The sequence below is a fragment of the Homo sapiens genome, chromosome 13 (genome assembly GCF_000001405.40).
Source record: "Homo sapiens chromosome 13, GRCh38.p14 Primary Assembly".
Lineage (NCBI taxonomy): Eukaryota > Metazoa > Chordata > Mammalia > Primates > Hominidae > Homo > Homo sapiens.
The window spans coordinates 29,082,850-29,101,255 of record NC_000013.11 but is presented as its reverse complement, the minus strand read 5'-3'; the positions used below and the strand labels follow the sequence as shown (position 1 = coordinate 29,101,255).

Sequence of the window (18,406 nt, the reverse complement as noted above, 5' to 3'; positions counted from 1 at the left end):
ACCTAGAATCTGCAAAGCAAAGGGCTGCTGGAATCTGTCTCTGGATAAGTCATTTTCTACATCCTAAGAGGTGGTTACAATCTTTTTTTCCTGGCACACTAACTCCCCATAACTGATGGTGTCAAATGGGCTATTTTTCTTCAGTAGATGAATAACACAACAATGGGAAGCTAAGGGAGGTGATGCAAATTCTTAAATAATCATGCAAAGAAAATGACACACAGTTACACAGGCGCGCCGGTTTTAATTCAGTGAAGGCACCCCACCCTGCCCCACCCCACTTACGGGTGGCTGGCCGGCCCTGCTCTGGCTGTGCACTGTCCCCGGACTGGGTGCTGGAGACTGAGGAGACGCTGGAGCTCCGGACAAAGCCAAATGCCGCCAGTTTGGCTGCCGGGAGACGTGAGTATCCGGGAGGACGGAGACCAGATTTCGGGAGATTGGATTTTGCAGCATTTGAACTGGAAGCTTTCTTTAAATCTGCTAAAACGAACCCAAATAAAATTAAAAAATTATTCTCAGTTCATAATGAGATAATGAATTCTACAGATTATGAATTCGAACCCAGTTCTATCATAAACAGACTAAAATTAATCTTGCAAGGTTTGATTCAACACATCTAAAATGGACCTTGGAAGAGAAAGGCCCCTTATATTGTGGGTCAGGTGCCTCAGAGAACTCAGAGAGGAGGTGGTGCAGCCCCAGCCTGGACAAATTTACCGTCTACTTAGGCAGATGAATTGAGGAAGACAAATAACTCTATTTTAAGGCTATAAGAAAAGGTATCAAGTGCTTAAGACAATGAGTGAAAGCGAATAGTTATTGTTGCATGTTACCCCAGATTCGTGAAATTGAGATACACCTTAAATTTTGACATACAATGGGCAAAGAACCATTGGGGTGAACATTCACTAGTAATTTTAAGCAGTTTGTAATAAGTCTTATGAAAAATATGTACAAAGAATCATCTAACCTTCTGTTGGGTGCAGGAATGAGGAGGAGATAGTGCAGACTGTGGAACTAGCCAGGCTGGAATATCAGCTCTCCCAATGACGAGCTGTGTAACCTCAAGCCCTTGTCCTAACACTTAAAGCCACAGTTTCCTTTCATGTGAAGACTGGGAATGATAACACTGACTTTGCAAATCTAGTATAAATATTACTGCTTATACCACAAGAACTTGATATGTGCTCAAACTGATGTTAGATTTCTTTTCTCCTTTTTACACTATCTGTTATGTTAGTCCAAACTTCAGAATTAGTTCCCAGATATGTGCAAAGTCAGCTTGTTTTGAAATAATAAAACATCAAGTTATAAATCTAGCATCTCAGCATCCCCATACTCTAAGTCTGAGCCAGGCTCCAGCAATAGCAACTGCAATGATTATCACAACACTATGAGAAGGCGCTCAGCACCAGAGAGAATCACAATATTGTCAATATACAAATGCTCTTTAATAGGAAATCTAAAAGGCCCAAGCTTCCTCACGTGCTGTAGTGCTGTATAACTGTCCTCATTGATTCCTTTAACAACGTTCACCAGCAGGCATATTTACCATGAGTGCCTATATACTGCCCATTCAGTGGCATTCTTATGCTAGTCAAGTCTTCATTATCCAGTAAAATATTAACCAGGTTTCAGAGTAAACGAGGATTTAGATTAAATGACCCATTTGAAAAAAAAATTCCACGTCTATAAATCCATGAAGAAACCACATATTAGAAAGCATCTATGTGTGGGAATAAGAGAGCAGCAATAAATGATACACTGGGTCTAAATGGTACATAGAAAAGTACCTCTTCCTCTGCCAGCAGCTCCCCCGAAAGTGAGGCTATGGAGAGCCGTGTGTCCAGTAAAGGCAGAAGCTGCACAGCTGTGGGTTCCTGATGCCTGAGTCAGGACTAGGATGGGGAGGAACCGAGTAAGTGCAAAAGGAAAAAGAAGCAAAGAGCTGGGGCTGCAAATATTCCCAACTCAAGCCTGTCCTAGTGCTTGGGAAAAGCACAAAAAACAAAAAACAAAACCTCAACTATGAAAAAGAAGAAACAATACACTAACAAGTGGTAATGGCCCGTTTGTATCAGCAATTTATGCCACGTTTAATGACTTCACATTGTTGTTCTCACATTATTTTGAATACTTTTAGTTCATATCCCCAGAACAGTGAAAATATCCCTATATATCAGATATCATGTTCACAGTGAATTTACGACAAATTGATTGTGGACGATGTCTGTAGAACAGGAAAAGAGTTGCTAAACATCAGATGTAATTTCAACAATAAGTATACTCTAAATCCATTACACTTTGATACTATTTTAAGTTATCTATCACCTCCTTTCTAACCTAGTTAATCAATAATTATGCAAAATCGAGTGAGGAGAATATGAACAAAATAATTTTTCTGAAAAACAAACTATATTTTGGAAGAAAAGTTAAACTCAGAATTTTTAACAGAGTACCTAGGCATGCAGTAAGCATTTACTACTTAGTCAAGAATGAAAACTAAGTTTGTTAAATCATTATATAAGACAAGCCACTGAACATGTTCAAAAAGAAATTTATCTTATTCTGCACTTACTTATATTCCATTATTGTTGATTTCATCAGTAGAAAAGTAGCACTGGAACATGTAGAGACGGGGAGGACAAGCAGCACAAGATCCCAAGCACACAGGAAGCCAGTCTCTAAATTGTTTTCTAGGTTTCCCTTTCCCATAGTCCAGATCTTTATTTTAATAAAGACACACATGGGCTGTGTGTTTGTGTGTGTGTGCATGCACGCACATGTGTGTGTGTGTGTGTGTGTTTAGATGACTTGCAAAAGTATACCTTGCCCCAACTCTCTGCGCATACAATTTTTGTAAATCTAATGGTACCTATATCATACACTAAGTTACTATATAATGGTCTTTCCTTCTAGCAGATTAAGCTCATGAATATCATACACGCCTTCAGGGTTTGCAGAAGCAAGTCTTATTCCTTTTATACCACCAGCTCCTAGCACAATGGTTTCCACAATGTATTTGATAAATATTTAGTTGAAGTTTACATTAGCCAAGCTTGTACCACACAAATTTAGCCCACAGTATAAGTCAAATATCTCAACTAGTCTCTGCATGAGAGTTGGTCTGGAGTAGAGCTCAAGAGTCTGCTTTTTAAACAATCACGTCAGTGATTCTGATTCAGGTGGTCCCTGGATCTTTGAAAACTTCAACAGAATACGCCAACTCACCCTGTGAAATAACTGCATTCAGCTCTTCTGACTGAATGTATCTTAATTTAATCTTAGTGTCTCATAAGAAAGACATATTTATAAAAATATATAGTACTTACTATTTCTCAAACAAGTCCAGTGTTATGGATGGACTGAATGTCTGTCTCCCCCAACCCCAAAATCACAGGTTTAAATCCTAACTTCCAATGTGATGATATTCAGAGGTGGGACCTTTAGGAGGTAATTAGGTTATAAGAATGGAGCCCTTGTGAATGGGATTAGTGCCTAAGTGCCCATATGAAAAGAAGCTGGAAACAGAGCTCCCTCTGTTTCCACCATGTGAAGATATAATGAGAAGATGGTGGTCTGCAACCCTGATCTCAGACCTTCAGCCACAAGAACTGTGAGAAATACATTTCTGTTTTTATACGCTACACTGTCTATGGTACTTTGTTATACGGCTGGAACTAAGACATTTAGCATGTTAGAGGAATATATGTTTCCAAGTACTTAGTGTTCTTGGACTATTCAAGAATATAGACTTTGACAGAAATACAAATGTTACAAGTGCATAATAAGCCTTCAATAAACAAATGATAGCTATAAATATTACAGGAAAGCTGAGGTGGCACATAAAAAAGACAACTTCCAAAATGGTGACATGAGGCTTTCCATGGACACTCTTCCCAGTGAAACAAACATAACTGGTAAAATAACATTTAAAATAACAACCACCATTTAAAGTTTCCAGAAATTGTTCTATGAACATGTAGCACTTAAAGAAACATTTATATAAGAAACTCTACTAAATCCAGTAAGAACAGTGAAAGTCAGTGGCACTTGAACCACAATCCACTCTCTTCCTCCCCTACTATCATCACAATATATGAAAGCTCTACTCTGGATGTGTGTGGCCAAAAGGATGGGTTTCCTCTCCTAGAGTCAAGGACTATAGTATCTTCCTGGGATGGGCAGGCCACCACCAATTCTCACTCCAACCCCACCCCCAGTTCCATGTTGTAGAGGCTGAATTACATGAGAGAGTGGTCAAAAGGTCAGGGAACCTTCCTTCACTTGGCCCAAACATATAAGACAGAGGTACTACCCCAGGCACAGCAAGCCAAACAATACTGGGGCCCCAATCACCATTTCCCAATCACCTATGGCTCACCATAGGCTAGAAGTTCAACACTTGAGAGAAAAAGGGAGAAGACTAGAAGCTACTGTCCCTACCTCGCACCTCGCTTATAAACCAGGAGTGTCAATCCAAGAGAAGCAGTCCACTGTCCCCAACCCCAGCTTCAGAATGGTGACTGAGAGATTTTGCCCAATCATAGAGGCAGGCCATAAGAACAGAGATCTCCAGAGTCCTCTACAAAGGAATTAACTTTGTTTGGAACAAACTGTGAGGGAAGTTTGGGCCTAACGGCAATCTCAAAAACAATAAAGATTTTGATGGTAAGCAATTAGGAGGAGGCTGGTAGCTCCATGAAGCAAAATAATAAACCATAGACAAGGTAGTTTATTAGAGAGAGCCAAGGAAATAACTGAAAAGAGCTATCCAGGGGTCAGAACTAACCTCAAAGAGTGGCTTTAAAAACTACCCTTGAAAAGGAGCTTGAATTTAACTGGATCAGACTGTGGAATAATGTATGCCCCAGGACACTGTAGAAAATTATAGAGCAATCAGTCAGTAATTAGTGGAACCTGACAGCTGAATGTGATACCAAAGGGAGGAAGACAATGTAACACAGATCCGGGAGAGACAGCCCTGCTAAAACATTCTTAGTGTGATTGTGTACATGCCCAAGGCTATGTCTTCTGTGGAGCAACATTAGTGAATTCACAGTGCAAGGGAAATAGGCTTCATTAAAGTAGATCAACCAAGTTGTTAAACAAATAAATAAGCAAACAACAAGCCCCAGAGAGGAAGAGAGATAATTAGTAGTCAAGGATGCTACATAATTATCTAAAAGTTTCATTACAACAAAAATAAAATGAGACACACAAAAGAAAAAAATACAGAAAAGGGTGATTCAGATACTAGAAAAAAGCAGGCAACAGAAACTGCCTATGAAAAGACCCAGCAGTCAAAAACTTCAAAAGAGCTATTATAAATATAATAAAATAACTAAGGAAACTATGCTTAAAGAAGTAAAGGAGCTATGACGACAATATTTCATCAAATAGAAAATAACAATAAAGAGAGAAATTATAAAAACCAAATGGAAAGTTTAGTGTTAAAAAAGCAAAATAACTAAAATGAAATATTAACTAAAGGGGCTCTACAACAGATTTGCAGTGGCAGGAAAAAAAAAGTGAACTTGAAGATAGATCAATACATACTACACAATCCAAGGAACACAGCACAAAGAAATGAAGAAAAATAAGTGGAGCCTCAGAGAGATGTGGACCATCATTAAGTGCAACATCATACAGAGAATGGATGTTTCAGAAGCAGAAAAAAAATTTACATAGTCCAAATCTTTGAAAATTTATTTAAATTATTAATGTATACATCAGAAGATCAAGGAAAACCAAATAAGGTAAATGTAAAGAGATCCACACCTAGATACACCATAGTAAGAAGTGTAGAAAGGTAAAGAGAAAAACAACTGTCAACCCAGAATGAAGAGGGATAGTTCACAATGATAAAAAGGTCAATGCATTAGGAAGATACAATAATTATAAACGTATATACACCTAACAACAGATACCCAAATTACATCAAGCAAAAATGAACAGAATTGACAGGAGAAATAAACAATTCAAAATAATAGTTCGAGACTTCAATACCTCACTTTCAATAATAGAACAATGAGGCAGAAGATAAACAAGAAAATAGAAGATCTGAACACTAACTAAACCTAACAGACCTCTATAAAACATTCCACCCAAGAGAAGCAGAATACATATTTTTCTCAAGTGCACATAGAATATTCTCCAGGATAAACTATATCTTAGGCCATAAAACAAGCATTAATAAATTAAAAAGGATTGAAATGATATAAAGTATGTTCTGTGGTCATAACAGAATGAAATTAAAAATCAATAACAAGGAAATTTGGGTAATTCTCAAATATATGAACACACATAAATAACCACTGGGTCAAAGATAAAATTGAAAGGGGAATTAGAAAATACTAAGATGAATAAAAATGAATGACATACCAAAGCTTACGGGAAGCAGCTAAAGCAATGCTTAAAAGGAAAATTATAACTGTAAATGCCTACATTAAAAAAGAAGATAGATGTCAATTCAATAAAGTAATTTTTGACTTTAAAACACTGAAGAAAGAAGAGCAAACTAAACTTAAACCAAAAGAAGAAAAGAAATAATAAAGATTACAGTGAAAATAAATAAAACAGAGAATAGAAAAACAGGAGAGAAAGCCAATGAAAACAAAATCCTAGTTCTTTGAATTATCAATAAATTTGACAAACCTTTAGCTGAGCCAGCCAAGAAAAACAGAAGGCTCAAATTACTAAAATTAGGAATGAAAGAGGGAACATCACCACTTATTTTGCAGGATCATATGGGAATATTGTACTATGAACAACTGCATCTCAACAAATTAGACAACCTAGTGAAATGGACAAATTCCACAGAAATACAAACTATAAAAGCTGAATCAAGAAGAAATAGAAACTCTGAAAATCTAAAAGAGAGATTGAATTAGAAATAAAAAAAAAAATTCCCACAAAGAAAAATCCAGGCACAGATGTCATTAGTGAATTCTATCAAACATTTAAAGAAGAATTAATATGAATTATTCACAAATTACACCCCCCACCCAAAAAAAGAAGAGGGAATACTTCTAAACTCATTCTATAAGTCCAGTATAATCTTGATGCTAAAACCAGATAAAGACATCTCAAGAAAACTATAAATCAATAACTCTTATAGATTCAAAATCCTCACCAAGATACTGCGCACTGAAGCTGGCAACATATACAAAATATTATATACCATGATCAAGTGATATTTATGCTAGGAATGCAAGATCGGTTTTACATACATAATTAATCCATGTACTATACCATATTAATAAAGAAAAACCATATGATCTTCTTAATTGATTCAGATAAACCACATGATAAAAACATTTAAACTGGTAATTAAAGAAAATATATTCAATCTTATAAGGGCTTATTGGAAAAACCTACAGCTAATACAGTAAAAGACTGAATCCTTCCCCTCTAAGATTAAAAACAAGAAAAGGTTGTCTGCTCTCACAATTTCTGTTTAACATTGTATGGAAGGTGCTAGCCAGAGAAATTAGGCAAGAAAATAAAATAAGAAATGTACAGATTGGAAACAAAAAGGAAAACTTTCTCTTTGCAGATGACATGATCTTATATATAGAAAATCCCAAGAAATCCACTAAAAAACTATTATAACTAATAAATGAGTTTAGCAAGTTTACAGAATACAATTCAACATACAGAAATCAACTGTATTTCTACACATTCACAATAAATCATCAAAAAATAAAATTAAGATAACAATTTGTATTTACAGTAGACCAAAAGGAATAAAATACTTAGGAATTATCATAAACGATCAGACTCCATAGTTTTTTGTTTTCTGTTTTTTTGAGATGGAGTGTTGCTCTGTCGCCAGGCTGGAGAGCAGTGGCATGATCTCGGCTCACTGCAACTTCCACCTCCTAGGTTCAAGTGATTCTCCTACCTCAGCCTCTCGAATAGCTGGGATTACAGGCATGCACCACCACGCCCAGCTAATTTTTGTATTTTTAGTAGAGATGGGGTTTCACCATGTTGGCCAGGATGGTCTCAATCTCTTGACCTCGTGATCTGCCCGTCTTAGTCTCCCAAAGTGCTGGAATTACAGGCATGAGCTACAGCACCCAGCCAATACTCCATAGTTTTTTGTTTGTTTGTTTGTTTTCACTTTGACTGCTAACAGCTTTTAGCCTCAATCCCCACTCCTTTGGCCCCATATCGGGGAAAGCTGTTAAGAAAGCCCAATGCACCCTCTTTTGATGCTAGGAAGTGGGACAGGAGTGAGGGTGGTAATTTAGATCAAAACCTCACAAACTCCGTCCCACTTCCATGAGAACACTTACACTTGCCCCACTCCATAATGATAATAAAAATCCTGAGCCAGCATTCTTTCCTTGTGCTCTCAAGCCATTTCAAATGTATGAGAGGCCAGTCCTCTCTTCCCAGAGACTTCAATTATGTAAGTCATAAAACTTTTCAAACCCTCTTGCTTTGTGTGTGGAATAATTGATACATGATTTTTCTGTCACTTTGCCAGCCAGAGACCTCCATGGCCAATGACGTCTCTGCCCAGGGCCTCACTTGGCCCTGGGCCTGTTGCAGAAGGTGCCCCATCCACTCGTCTGGCGGGGCCATGCCTGGCTTGTGCACCAGCCTGGATCCCATGCTCAGCCTACAACTGGGCCAGGTGTGCCCCTGGCCCAGCTCGTACCCGCATTCAGAGGTTCCGAAGTTCTTGTCCCACATCCAAGATGAATAAGGTTACTCTGACAATCGAAGGGTGAGGTGGGTGAAGAAGAATTTTATTGAGTGAAAGAATAGCTCTCAGCAGAGAGGGGATGCGAGGGTGGTCCCTACCCAAAGTCAAGTGGTCACCCACCCAGCGTGGCTGGGTCTGGGACTTGTATGGGCTTAGAATGGGTGAGTACATGCTGATTGGTTTGTTAGTATGCAAAAAAAAGGCTAAAACAAAGGCACCATGTAAAGGTGGGCATGACAGTGTAAAAAAACAATTAGGGAAGAGTAGGAATATGTAAAATGGGTGAAGGGTTAGAATCAATCAGAGGAACGCACACCAAACAGAAAGAGAGGTTCTCAGTCCATTCCATGGGTTTGACTTGTAGCTTGGCTTTCAGGCTTTAAATTGGCTTTGGCTTGAAGGTGTGGTTTCACTGGGAACCCAACCCTATCTGCCTAGGCATTTGACTGCCTCCTGCTGCTATCATAATCACTCTTGACATCTAAACCAAATTTTTGGCTGAGGTTCATCTTACCTCTTCAGGGTGGCTACAACAACAGGTGCCGGATCAGGATGCTGAGACAATGACCACCTCCACCGGGGTCTTTCCTCAGGCTTTGGCTTGTTAACAGGCTCTGCTGCCTTCTAGCAAGCATGTACTCTGCACTGTTCCTTCTTGGCTTCTTGTGCTTTGAGCTGTGCTGCTCTGTGCTGCACTGTTGAGTCCTACAGAGCTTCTGTTACAGATAATGCTGAACTAAATTGGAAGATTCAATGATTAATTGATTTTGGAATAAGATTATGAGATTGGGGTAGGGCTTTCTTAAGCTGGCCCTAGGCATGTGTCTCAGTCTGGACCTATCTGTATTTCTAAGAATGAAGTTGTGACTTATGCTAGGCTCAAGGAAAGATTACCCTGTGACAACTGGTTATGTGTCTCAACTAGGTATTGGCTCCAGATCTATAGAGCACTAAGGGGAAGACTGGATCATGTGAAGATATAAGCCTACTGGGCAAAAGCTCATGAAAGAGTGGTCATTAATGGAAAAAAAGGAAAAAGAAACAAAGGCCATAATGTGGAGTACTGAGATCGGCATTCCTTAGAAGCAGACAACTCCACAGGACCTTAAATATCTTAGTTGCTGTTGCCTAGACCTCTGTAGCCACAAAAATCCTGACCCTCAAGCTTATAGAGAAAAACACCCATGGCACCCTTGTGGCACACTGAAGAGGTTAATTCAGACTCTACTTGTATTAGTCTGATTGTGTCACTATAAATAAATACCTGAGTGTGGGTAATTTACAAACAAAAGAGAAAGGGGCAGGATGGCTGACTAGATGCAGCTGGGGGAGCTTCTCCCACCTAGAGAGACAGAACCTATTGAGTAGACTGCCATATTCCAAGCAGATCTTCAGAAAGAAGGCATCCAGAATCAATAGAGGAAGGATACAGACCCTGGGGCTGATGAGGAGGAGGTTGGAACCCTGCACAAAGTTGCTGAGTACCAGAAGTCACTGTGGGTCCCAAGTGGCAACCAGAGAAGGGGTGAGTGAGCTAAGAATAGAGTGGACTACTCTCTCCACAGACCTCCAGGATCCTAGCTGCAGGATACTCCACGAAACCCACAGATATATTTGAATTCATGGGGAGAACTGCCTGGAGAGGTGACAGAGACAGAACTCCAGTCTGCATGGGTCCCAAAGGGTTTGGCATGGGAATGGCTGCAGTGGAGCACAGCCATAGGTGCCCATCCCCAAAGACTTGTTAGAATCCTCTAAGTGGCTTTAGCCTTCATTAGCTACCAGACCTAAAGAGAGCAGGGCTCTCCTGCACAGAACATGACCAGTTTTGTATGGGCATCCCCTGTCTGCTGGCCTCTCCTGCAGTCCCTGCCTACCCATGCCCACATGCAGTACAGCCTTAAATGCCCTGCTGAAATGCTTGCTGGCAGCCACTGCCATAGTTCTTTCACCAGGAGCCCCTGCCTTCCCATTGGAACATTTTTGCCACCAGTGTGCAACCAGCTACAGCCTTCCTTCACTGGCATGTGCTTGCTTGCAGCCTCCCCCAGTCACTCCACTGGTGTGGGCTCGCCTGCAGCCCCCTGACTACAGTGTACTCTCCTGCAGCCCCCACGACCCCAGCACAGTGAACTCTCCCACAGGCACTCCACTACCCTACCAGAGCACTTTTGCTGGCAGCCCCCATCAGAGTGTTGTTTTCCAGAGAACTAGGAACATCTCGGCTCTTCCAGCACAGGAGATGCCTGACCTCAAGGGGCCAGAGAACAAAACCAAAAGCCTGGTCTCAGGTCCCCAGGGTTAGAGCATGCAGCCCAGGAGTACTGACTGAGCCTTTGCCCACTGAAAGCATCCAGAAACAAAGTCAGCCAAACCCAACTTATACCACAGTCAAACCTCAAGGGCATCAAAGAACATAAAAGCAAAAAGTTTCACCCAAAAAACAGCAACTTTAAAGATTAAAGTAATATCAGCCCATAGAGATGAGAAAGAACCAGGGCAAGATTTCTGGCAACCATAAAAGCCAGAGTGTCTTAAGACATCCAAATGACCACATTAGCTCCCCAGCAATGTTTCTTAACCAGTTTGAAATGGCTGAAATTAACAACATAGAATCAAAATATGGATGTCAAGGAAGCTCAGTGAGATACAGGAGAAGGCTGAAACCTAATTCAAAGAACCAGTAAAACAATCTAACAGTTGAAAGATGACATATCCATTTTAAGAAAGAACCAAACTGAACTTCCAGAAATGAAAAATTCACTACAGGAATTTCATAATGCAATAGGAACCACTAATAACAGAATAGACCAAGCTGAGGAAAGAATGTCAGAGCTTGAACACCGCTCCTTTGAATCCATGCAGACAAAAAAAAGAATTTAAAAATGAACAAAACCAGCAAGAAATATAAGATTATCTAAAGAGACCAAACCTATGACTCACTGGCATTCCTCAGAGAGATGAAGAGAAAGCAAGCAACTTGGAAAACATATTTGAGGATATGGTCCACAAAAAATTCCCTGACCTTGCTAGAGAGGTTGACATATAAATCCAAAACTTCAGAGGACCCCTGTGAAATACTAGACAATATGACCTTTCTCAAAGCACATAGTCATCAGATTCTCCAAGGTCAATATGAAAGAAAAGACCTTAAAGTTAGCTAGAAATAAGGGGCAGGTCACATACAAAGGAAACTCCATCAGCTTAACAGTGGACCTTTCAGCAGAAACCCTACAAGCCAAAAGAGATCGGGGCCCTATATTTAGCATCCTTAAAGAAAAGAAGTTCCAACAAAGAATTTCATACCCAGCCAAACTATGCTTCATAAGCGAAGGAGAAATAAAATCCTTTTCAGACAAGCAAATTCTAGGGAAAATTGTTACCACCAGATCTGCCTTAGAAGAGGCCATAAAGGGAGGGCTAAATATGGAAATAAAAACCTGATACCTGCTATTGCAAAAACATACTTAAGTACATAGCCCACTGGCAATATAAAGTAACTATGCAATCAAGTCTACATAACAACCAGCTAACAACATGATGACAGGAACAAACCACATATCAATATTGACCTTAAATGTAAATGGATTAAACATCTCATCTAAAAGACAGAGTGGCAAATTGGATAGATAAGCAAGACCCAACTGTGTGCTGTCTTCAAGAGATCCATCTCACATGCAATGACACCCATAAAGTAAGGAGATGGAGAAAAATGTATGAAACAAACAGAAAACAAAAAGAACAGGGGTTGCTATTTTTATCTTAGAAAAAAATAGACTATGATTTAATAAGCCCACTATTATGAGAAAGGATAAAGAAGGGTATTACATAATCATAAAGGGTTCAATACAATAAGATGATTTAACTATGCTGAATGTATATGAACCCAATATTGCAGCACCAAGATTCATTAAAGACCTATAAAGAAACTTAGATAACCACACAATAATAGTGGGAGACTTCAACACCTAACTGACATTAGAAATCAAGGCAGAACATTAACGAAGATATTTGGGACCTATACTCAACACTTGAACAAATGGACCTAACAGGCATCTACAGAGCACTCCACACAACAATGTAAGAATGTACCTTATTCTCATCTGCACATGGCACATACTCTAAGATCAACCACACACTCAGGCATAAAGCAATTCTCAACAAATTCAAAAATACCAAAATCCTACCAACCAACCACACTCTGAGATCACACAATAAAATTAGAAATCAATACCAAGAAGATCACTCTAAACCATATAATTACATGAAAATTAAACAACTTGCTCTTGAATGACTTGGGTAAAAAATAAAAATTAAAGCACAAATAAAAAAGTCTTTGAAACTAATGAAAACAAACATACAACATACCAGAATCTCTGGGACACAGCTAAAGCAGCATTAAGGGGAAAGTTTATAGGACTAAACACCTACACCAGAAAGTTAGAAAATTCTTTTTTTTTTTTTTTTTTTTTTTTGAGACGGAGTCTTGCTCTGTCACCCAGGCTGGAGTGCAGTGGCATGATCTCAGCCCACTGCAAGCTCCGCCTCCCAGGTTCATGCCATTCTCCTGTCTCAGCCTCCCAAGTAGCTGGGACTACAGGCACCCACCACCACGCCTGGCTAATTTTTTTGTGTTTTTAGAAAAGACAGGGTTTCACCATGTTAGCCAGGATGGTCTCAATCTCCTGACCTTGTGATCCGCCTGCCTCAGCCTACCAGAGTGCCGGGATTACAGGCGTGAGCCACTGCACCTGGCCAGAAAATGCTTAAACTAACCACCTAACATTATACCCAGAGGAACTGGAGAAATGAGAGCAAAACAACCCCAAAAATCATGGAAGGACTCCTTCCTAACTCATTTCATGAGGCCAGCATCAACAGCTAATGACTATCAATGCCATTTTTCACAGAATTAGAAAAACGTATTCTAAAATTCCAAATACCAAAACCTGACAGAGACACATGAAAAAAGAAAACTTCAGGCCAATATCCCTGATGAACATAGATGCAAAAATCTTCAACAAAATACTAGGAAACTGAATTTAGCAGCACATCAAAAAGCTAATCCACCACAATCAAGTAGGCTTTATTCTTGGGATGTAAGGTTGGTTCAACATATGCAAAACAGTAATTGTGATCGACCACATAAACAGAACTAACACTACAAACCACATAATAATCTCATAGACACAGCAAAAGCTTTCAATAAAATTCAACATCCTTTCATGTTAAAAACCTCTAACAAACAAGGCATTTAAGGAACATATCTCAAACTAATAAGAACCATCTATGACAAACCCACAGCCAACATCATACTGAATGGGCAAAAGCTGAAAGCATTCTCATTAAGAACTGGAACAAGATAAGGATGTCCACTCTCACCATTCCTATTCAACATAGTGCTGGAAGTCCTAGCCAGAGTAATCAGGCAAGAGAAATAAATAAAGGCATCCAAATAGGAAGAGAGGAAGTCAAATTATCCCACTTCACTGATGATATGATTCTATACCTAGAAAACCCTAAAGACTCCTTCAGAAGGCTCCTAGAAATGATAAACGTCCTCAGTAAATTTTCAGAATACAAAATTAATATATAAAACCCAGTACCATATACACCAATAACATTTGAGCTAAGAACCAAATCAAGAACATGATAGCCACAAAAAGAATAAAATACCTAGGAATACAGCTAACCAGGGAGGTGAAAAATCTCTACAAAAACTGCAAAACATTGCTGAAAGAAATAATAGATGACACAAAGAAATGGAAAAAATTCCATGCTCTTGGATAGAAACAATCAACATTGTTAAAATGGCCATAGTGCCCAAAGCAATTACAGATTCAATGTTATTCCTATCAAACTATCAATGCCATTTTTCACAGAACTAGAAAAACGTATTCTCAAATTCATATGGAACCAAAAAAGAGCCCCAATAGCCAAAGCAATCCTAAGCAAAAAGAACAAAGCTGGAGGCATAACACTATTCAACTTCAAACTATACTACAAGAATATAGTAACCAAAACATCATGGTACTGGTACAAAAACAAACACACAGACCAGTGGAACAGGTTAAAGAAGCCAGAAATAAAAACCACACACCTACAATCTTGAAGACTTAAATGTAATACCTATAAAAACCCTAGAAGAAATCCTAGGAAATACCATTCTGGACATAGGCCTTGGCAAAGATTTCATGATAAAGTCTCCAAAAGCAATTGTAACAAAAAGAAGAAATAAATAAGTAAGATCTAATTAAAGATCTTCTGCACAGCAAAACAACCTATCAATAGCATAAACAGAAAACCTACAGAATGGGAGAAAATGTTAGCAAATTATGTATGCAACAAAGACCTAATATCCAGAATCTATAAGGAACTTAAACAAATCAACAAGCAAGAAACAAACCTCATTTCAAAATGGGCAAAGAACATGAATAGACACTTCTCAAAAGAAGACATACATGCGGCCAACAAGCATATGAAAAAATGCTCAACATCACTAATCATCAGAGAAATGCAAATCAAAACCTCAATGACATACCATCTCACACCAGTCAGAATGGCTCTTTTTTAAAAATCAGTAAATAACAGATTTTGGCAAGGCTGAAGATGAAAGGGAATGCTTATACTCTGCAGGTGGGAATGTAAATTAGTTTGGCTACTATAGAAAGCAGTTTAGCGAATTCTCAAAGAACTTAGAACTGATTTTGACCTAGCAATCCCACTGCTGGGTATACAGCCAAAGGAAAAAAAGTCATTCTACCAAAAAGATACATGCATGCCTATGTTCATCATAGCACTATTCACAATAGTAAAGACATGAAATCAACCTAGGTGCCCAATGAATGGTGGACTGGATAAAGAAAATGTGGTACATATACACCATGGAATACTACACAGCCACAAAAAAAGAACAAGATCATGTCCTTTGCAGGAACATGGGTGGAGCTGGAGGCCATTACCCTAAGCAAATTAACACAGGGACAGAAAGCCAAATTCCACATGTTCTCATCTGTAAATGGGAACTAAACTTTGAGTACATATGGACACAAAGGTGGGAACAATAGACAGTGGGGTCTACTTAAGCAGGGAGGGTGACAAATGAATGAGGGTCTAAAAACTACCTATTGGGTACTATGCTTACTAGCTGGGTGACAAAATTATTTGTACATCAAACTTCAGTGACATACAATTTACTCATGTAACAAACCTCACATGTACCCCCTGAACTTAAAATAAAAGTTGAAAAGTAAAATAAATAACAGTTACTAAATAAAAGAAAAAGAAAAGAGGTTTACTTTTGCTCATGGTTCTTCTAGCTGTATGAGAAACATGGTATCACCCTCTGCTTCTAGTGAGATGTCAGGAAGCTTCCACTCATGGTGGAAGGTAAAGGGAAGCCTGCATGTCACATGGCAAGAAAGGGAGAAAGAGAGAAAGAAGGGAGAGGTCCCAGATTCTTTTAAACAACTGCATCTCCTTGCATGAACGAACTGAGCAAGAATTCACTCATCACCAAGGGGATGGCACTAAGCCATACATGAGGGATCCACCCACATGATCCAACACCATTAGCCCCACCTCCAACATTAGGGATCACATTAACATGAGATCTGGAGGGACACACATCCAAACCATATCACTAGTTAAACCCAGTGTTCTTAAACCCTATAAAGTAACCTCTGAGGTCAGGCACAGTAGCTCATGCCTGTAATCCCAGCACTTTGGAAGGCCAACGGTGAGGGGGGGGGGTGGATCACCTGAGGTCAGGAGTTCAAGACCAGCCTGGCCAACATGGTGAAACCCCACCTCTACTAAAAATACAAAAATTACCTGGGTGTGGTGTCATGCACCTACAGTCCCAGCTCCTAGGGAGGCTGAAACAGGAGAATCGCTTGAACCCAGGAGGCAGAAGTTGCAGTGAGCTGAGATTGCATCACTGCACTCCAGCCTGGGCGACAGAGCAAGGTTCCATCAAAAAAGGAAAGAAGAAAAGAAGGGGGGGAGAGGGGAGGGGAGGGGAAAGGAAAAAGAGAAAGAGACCATTGCATGGAGGAGCCCCTAACCCTGACAATACTGATTTGAACTTCTCTGGAGGATGGAACTTATAAATCTAAGCAAAGTAGAGAGAATGCTCAGTAACAACAACAGTTGTTTTGTTTTTTTTTTTAAGGAGGGTGGAGGGAAGAAGAAAGAGATGGAGAAAGCAACCAGATATGAGACAGGAAACAAAAAAGTGAAACAGAGGCCCACAGTTGGACCCAATTTGAAATCCAAAATTTACTAAAAGAATTTATACAACGTAAGATTTAAAAGGGCACTAACTGGCTTTTGTACTTCTGCAACATAGGTTCTGAATTAACTTTAACACAATTTGAATGCACCAACAGGCAAATCTTCATGGCCTTAACACTGAGGCTCAAACTACATTTATTCCTGGGATCTCATTAAATTTAAACAAATTACCCCCTATAATTATAATCTATAATATAGATCTAATTTATAAGTCTTTCATTTACAGATTAACATGCTATAATCTTAGGGGAGTTACTGAACAAAAAATAGAGGGCACATAAGTATGTTTCACCTTAACTGCAGGAATTATTGTCTAAATTTTCCAGTATCATAGCATTCATTGTCCTAAAATATCCCATAGTGAGCATGGACACTCTGGCCTAATGATCAATACATTTAAATATAATTAAGAATTTGACATATACAAAATTGGCTTGGCAAAATGAGACCCCATGGACCATACCCCTAGTAAAACCAGTTAGTATGGCTCAATGTAAATTTAAACAGAAACTTACAAGTACTGAAATCCATCACATGCCTCCATTGTTCCTTCATATAAGAACTCAATTTGGCCTGTTCTTAAATTTGGAATGAATGACACTACACAGTGGATTATGTAACCTTAATGCCATAGTGCTACCCAGTAAGGCCCCCAGACATTATATTATTGAATTGACTGACTCCATCTAATCAGCAACTGCAACGTATTTTGCTATTATAGATTTGGCTAATATGTTCCATTCAGCTCCCACTTCAACAGCTTCTTAGTCAAAACTTTCCTTTACCTCTAAAGGAATACAACCTATCTTTAGCTGGTGGCCACCCACAGGGTACCCCAACAGCCTTGCCATCATACACAAGCCTTTGCAGGGAAGGTCTTAACTGCACTCAACTTTCTCCAAGAGTACAGGCATGACATTATATTGATGACATTCTCTTCTGAAGGCATTCATTCGACATTCGACACACTCGTTCAGGACATACAAATAAAAACTCACCAAGGAGTTCACAGAAGAGAAATGGGCCATTGCCTTGTGCATAGTACAACGTCTTGCCACCATGCTAAATTCCTGAAAATTACCTGGTAAACTGCAGGGAACTCCATCCCCTGACTCTTAAGAAATAGCTAATGATTGTATCAGCACCAAAAATAGTAAGGGAAGCCCAGGGTCTTTTAGGCTTTTTTGGGTTCAGGAAGCAAAATATCCTTCCTTTGTAAATTTTTATTGAAGCCCATCTTCAATGGGCTTCCCTCCAACAACCGCCTCTAGAATCTGTCCAAACTGCAATCAACATGCATTTCCTTTAGTTCCCTCAGAGACTCCTCACTATAAAAGCTTTAGTAACCTCCTCTCATGCTTCCTGGAGTCTCTAGACCACTTATAATGG

General features: G+C 39.3%; 1 protein-coding gene across 13 annotated transcripts in view; it reads right to left on the bottom strand.

Moving 5' to 3' along the window:
• MTUS2 (microtubule associated scaffold protein 2) overlaps positions 1 to 18,406 on the bottom strand; it is a 685,985-nt gene that overhangs the window by 404,692 nt on the left and 262,887 nt on the right. For 9 of the 13 annotated variants that reach the window (XM_047430227.1, NM_001384605.1, XM_011535019.4 and 6 more), the window contains one exon: positions 286 to 483. The exons of 1 other annotated variant lie outside the window; for it this stretch is intronic. In XM_047430227.1, the coding sequence (XP_047286183.1) occupies positions 286 to 483 (198 nt within the window). The remainder of the gene's footprint in view (positions 1 to 285; positions 484 to 18,406) is intronic. 3 more of the 13 variants (NM_001366650.1, XM_047430229.1, XM_011535022.2) reach the window with 1 other exon arrangement.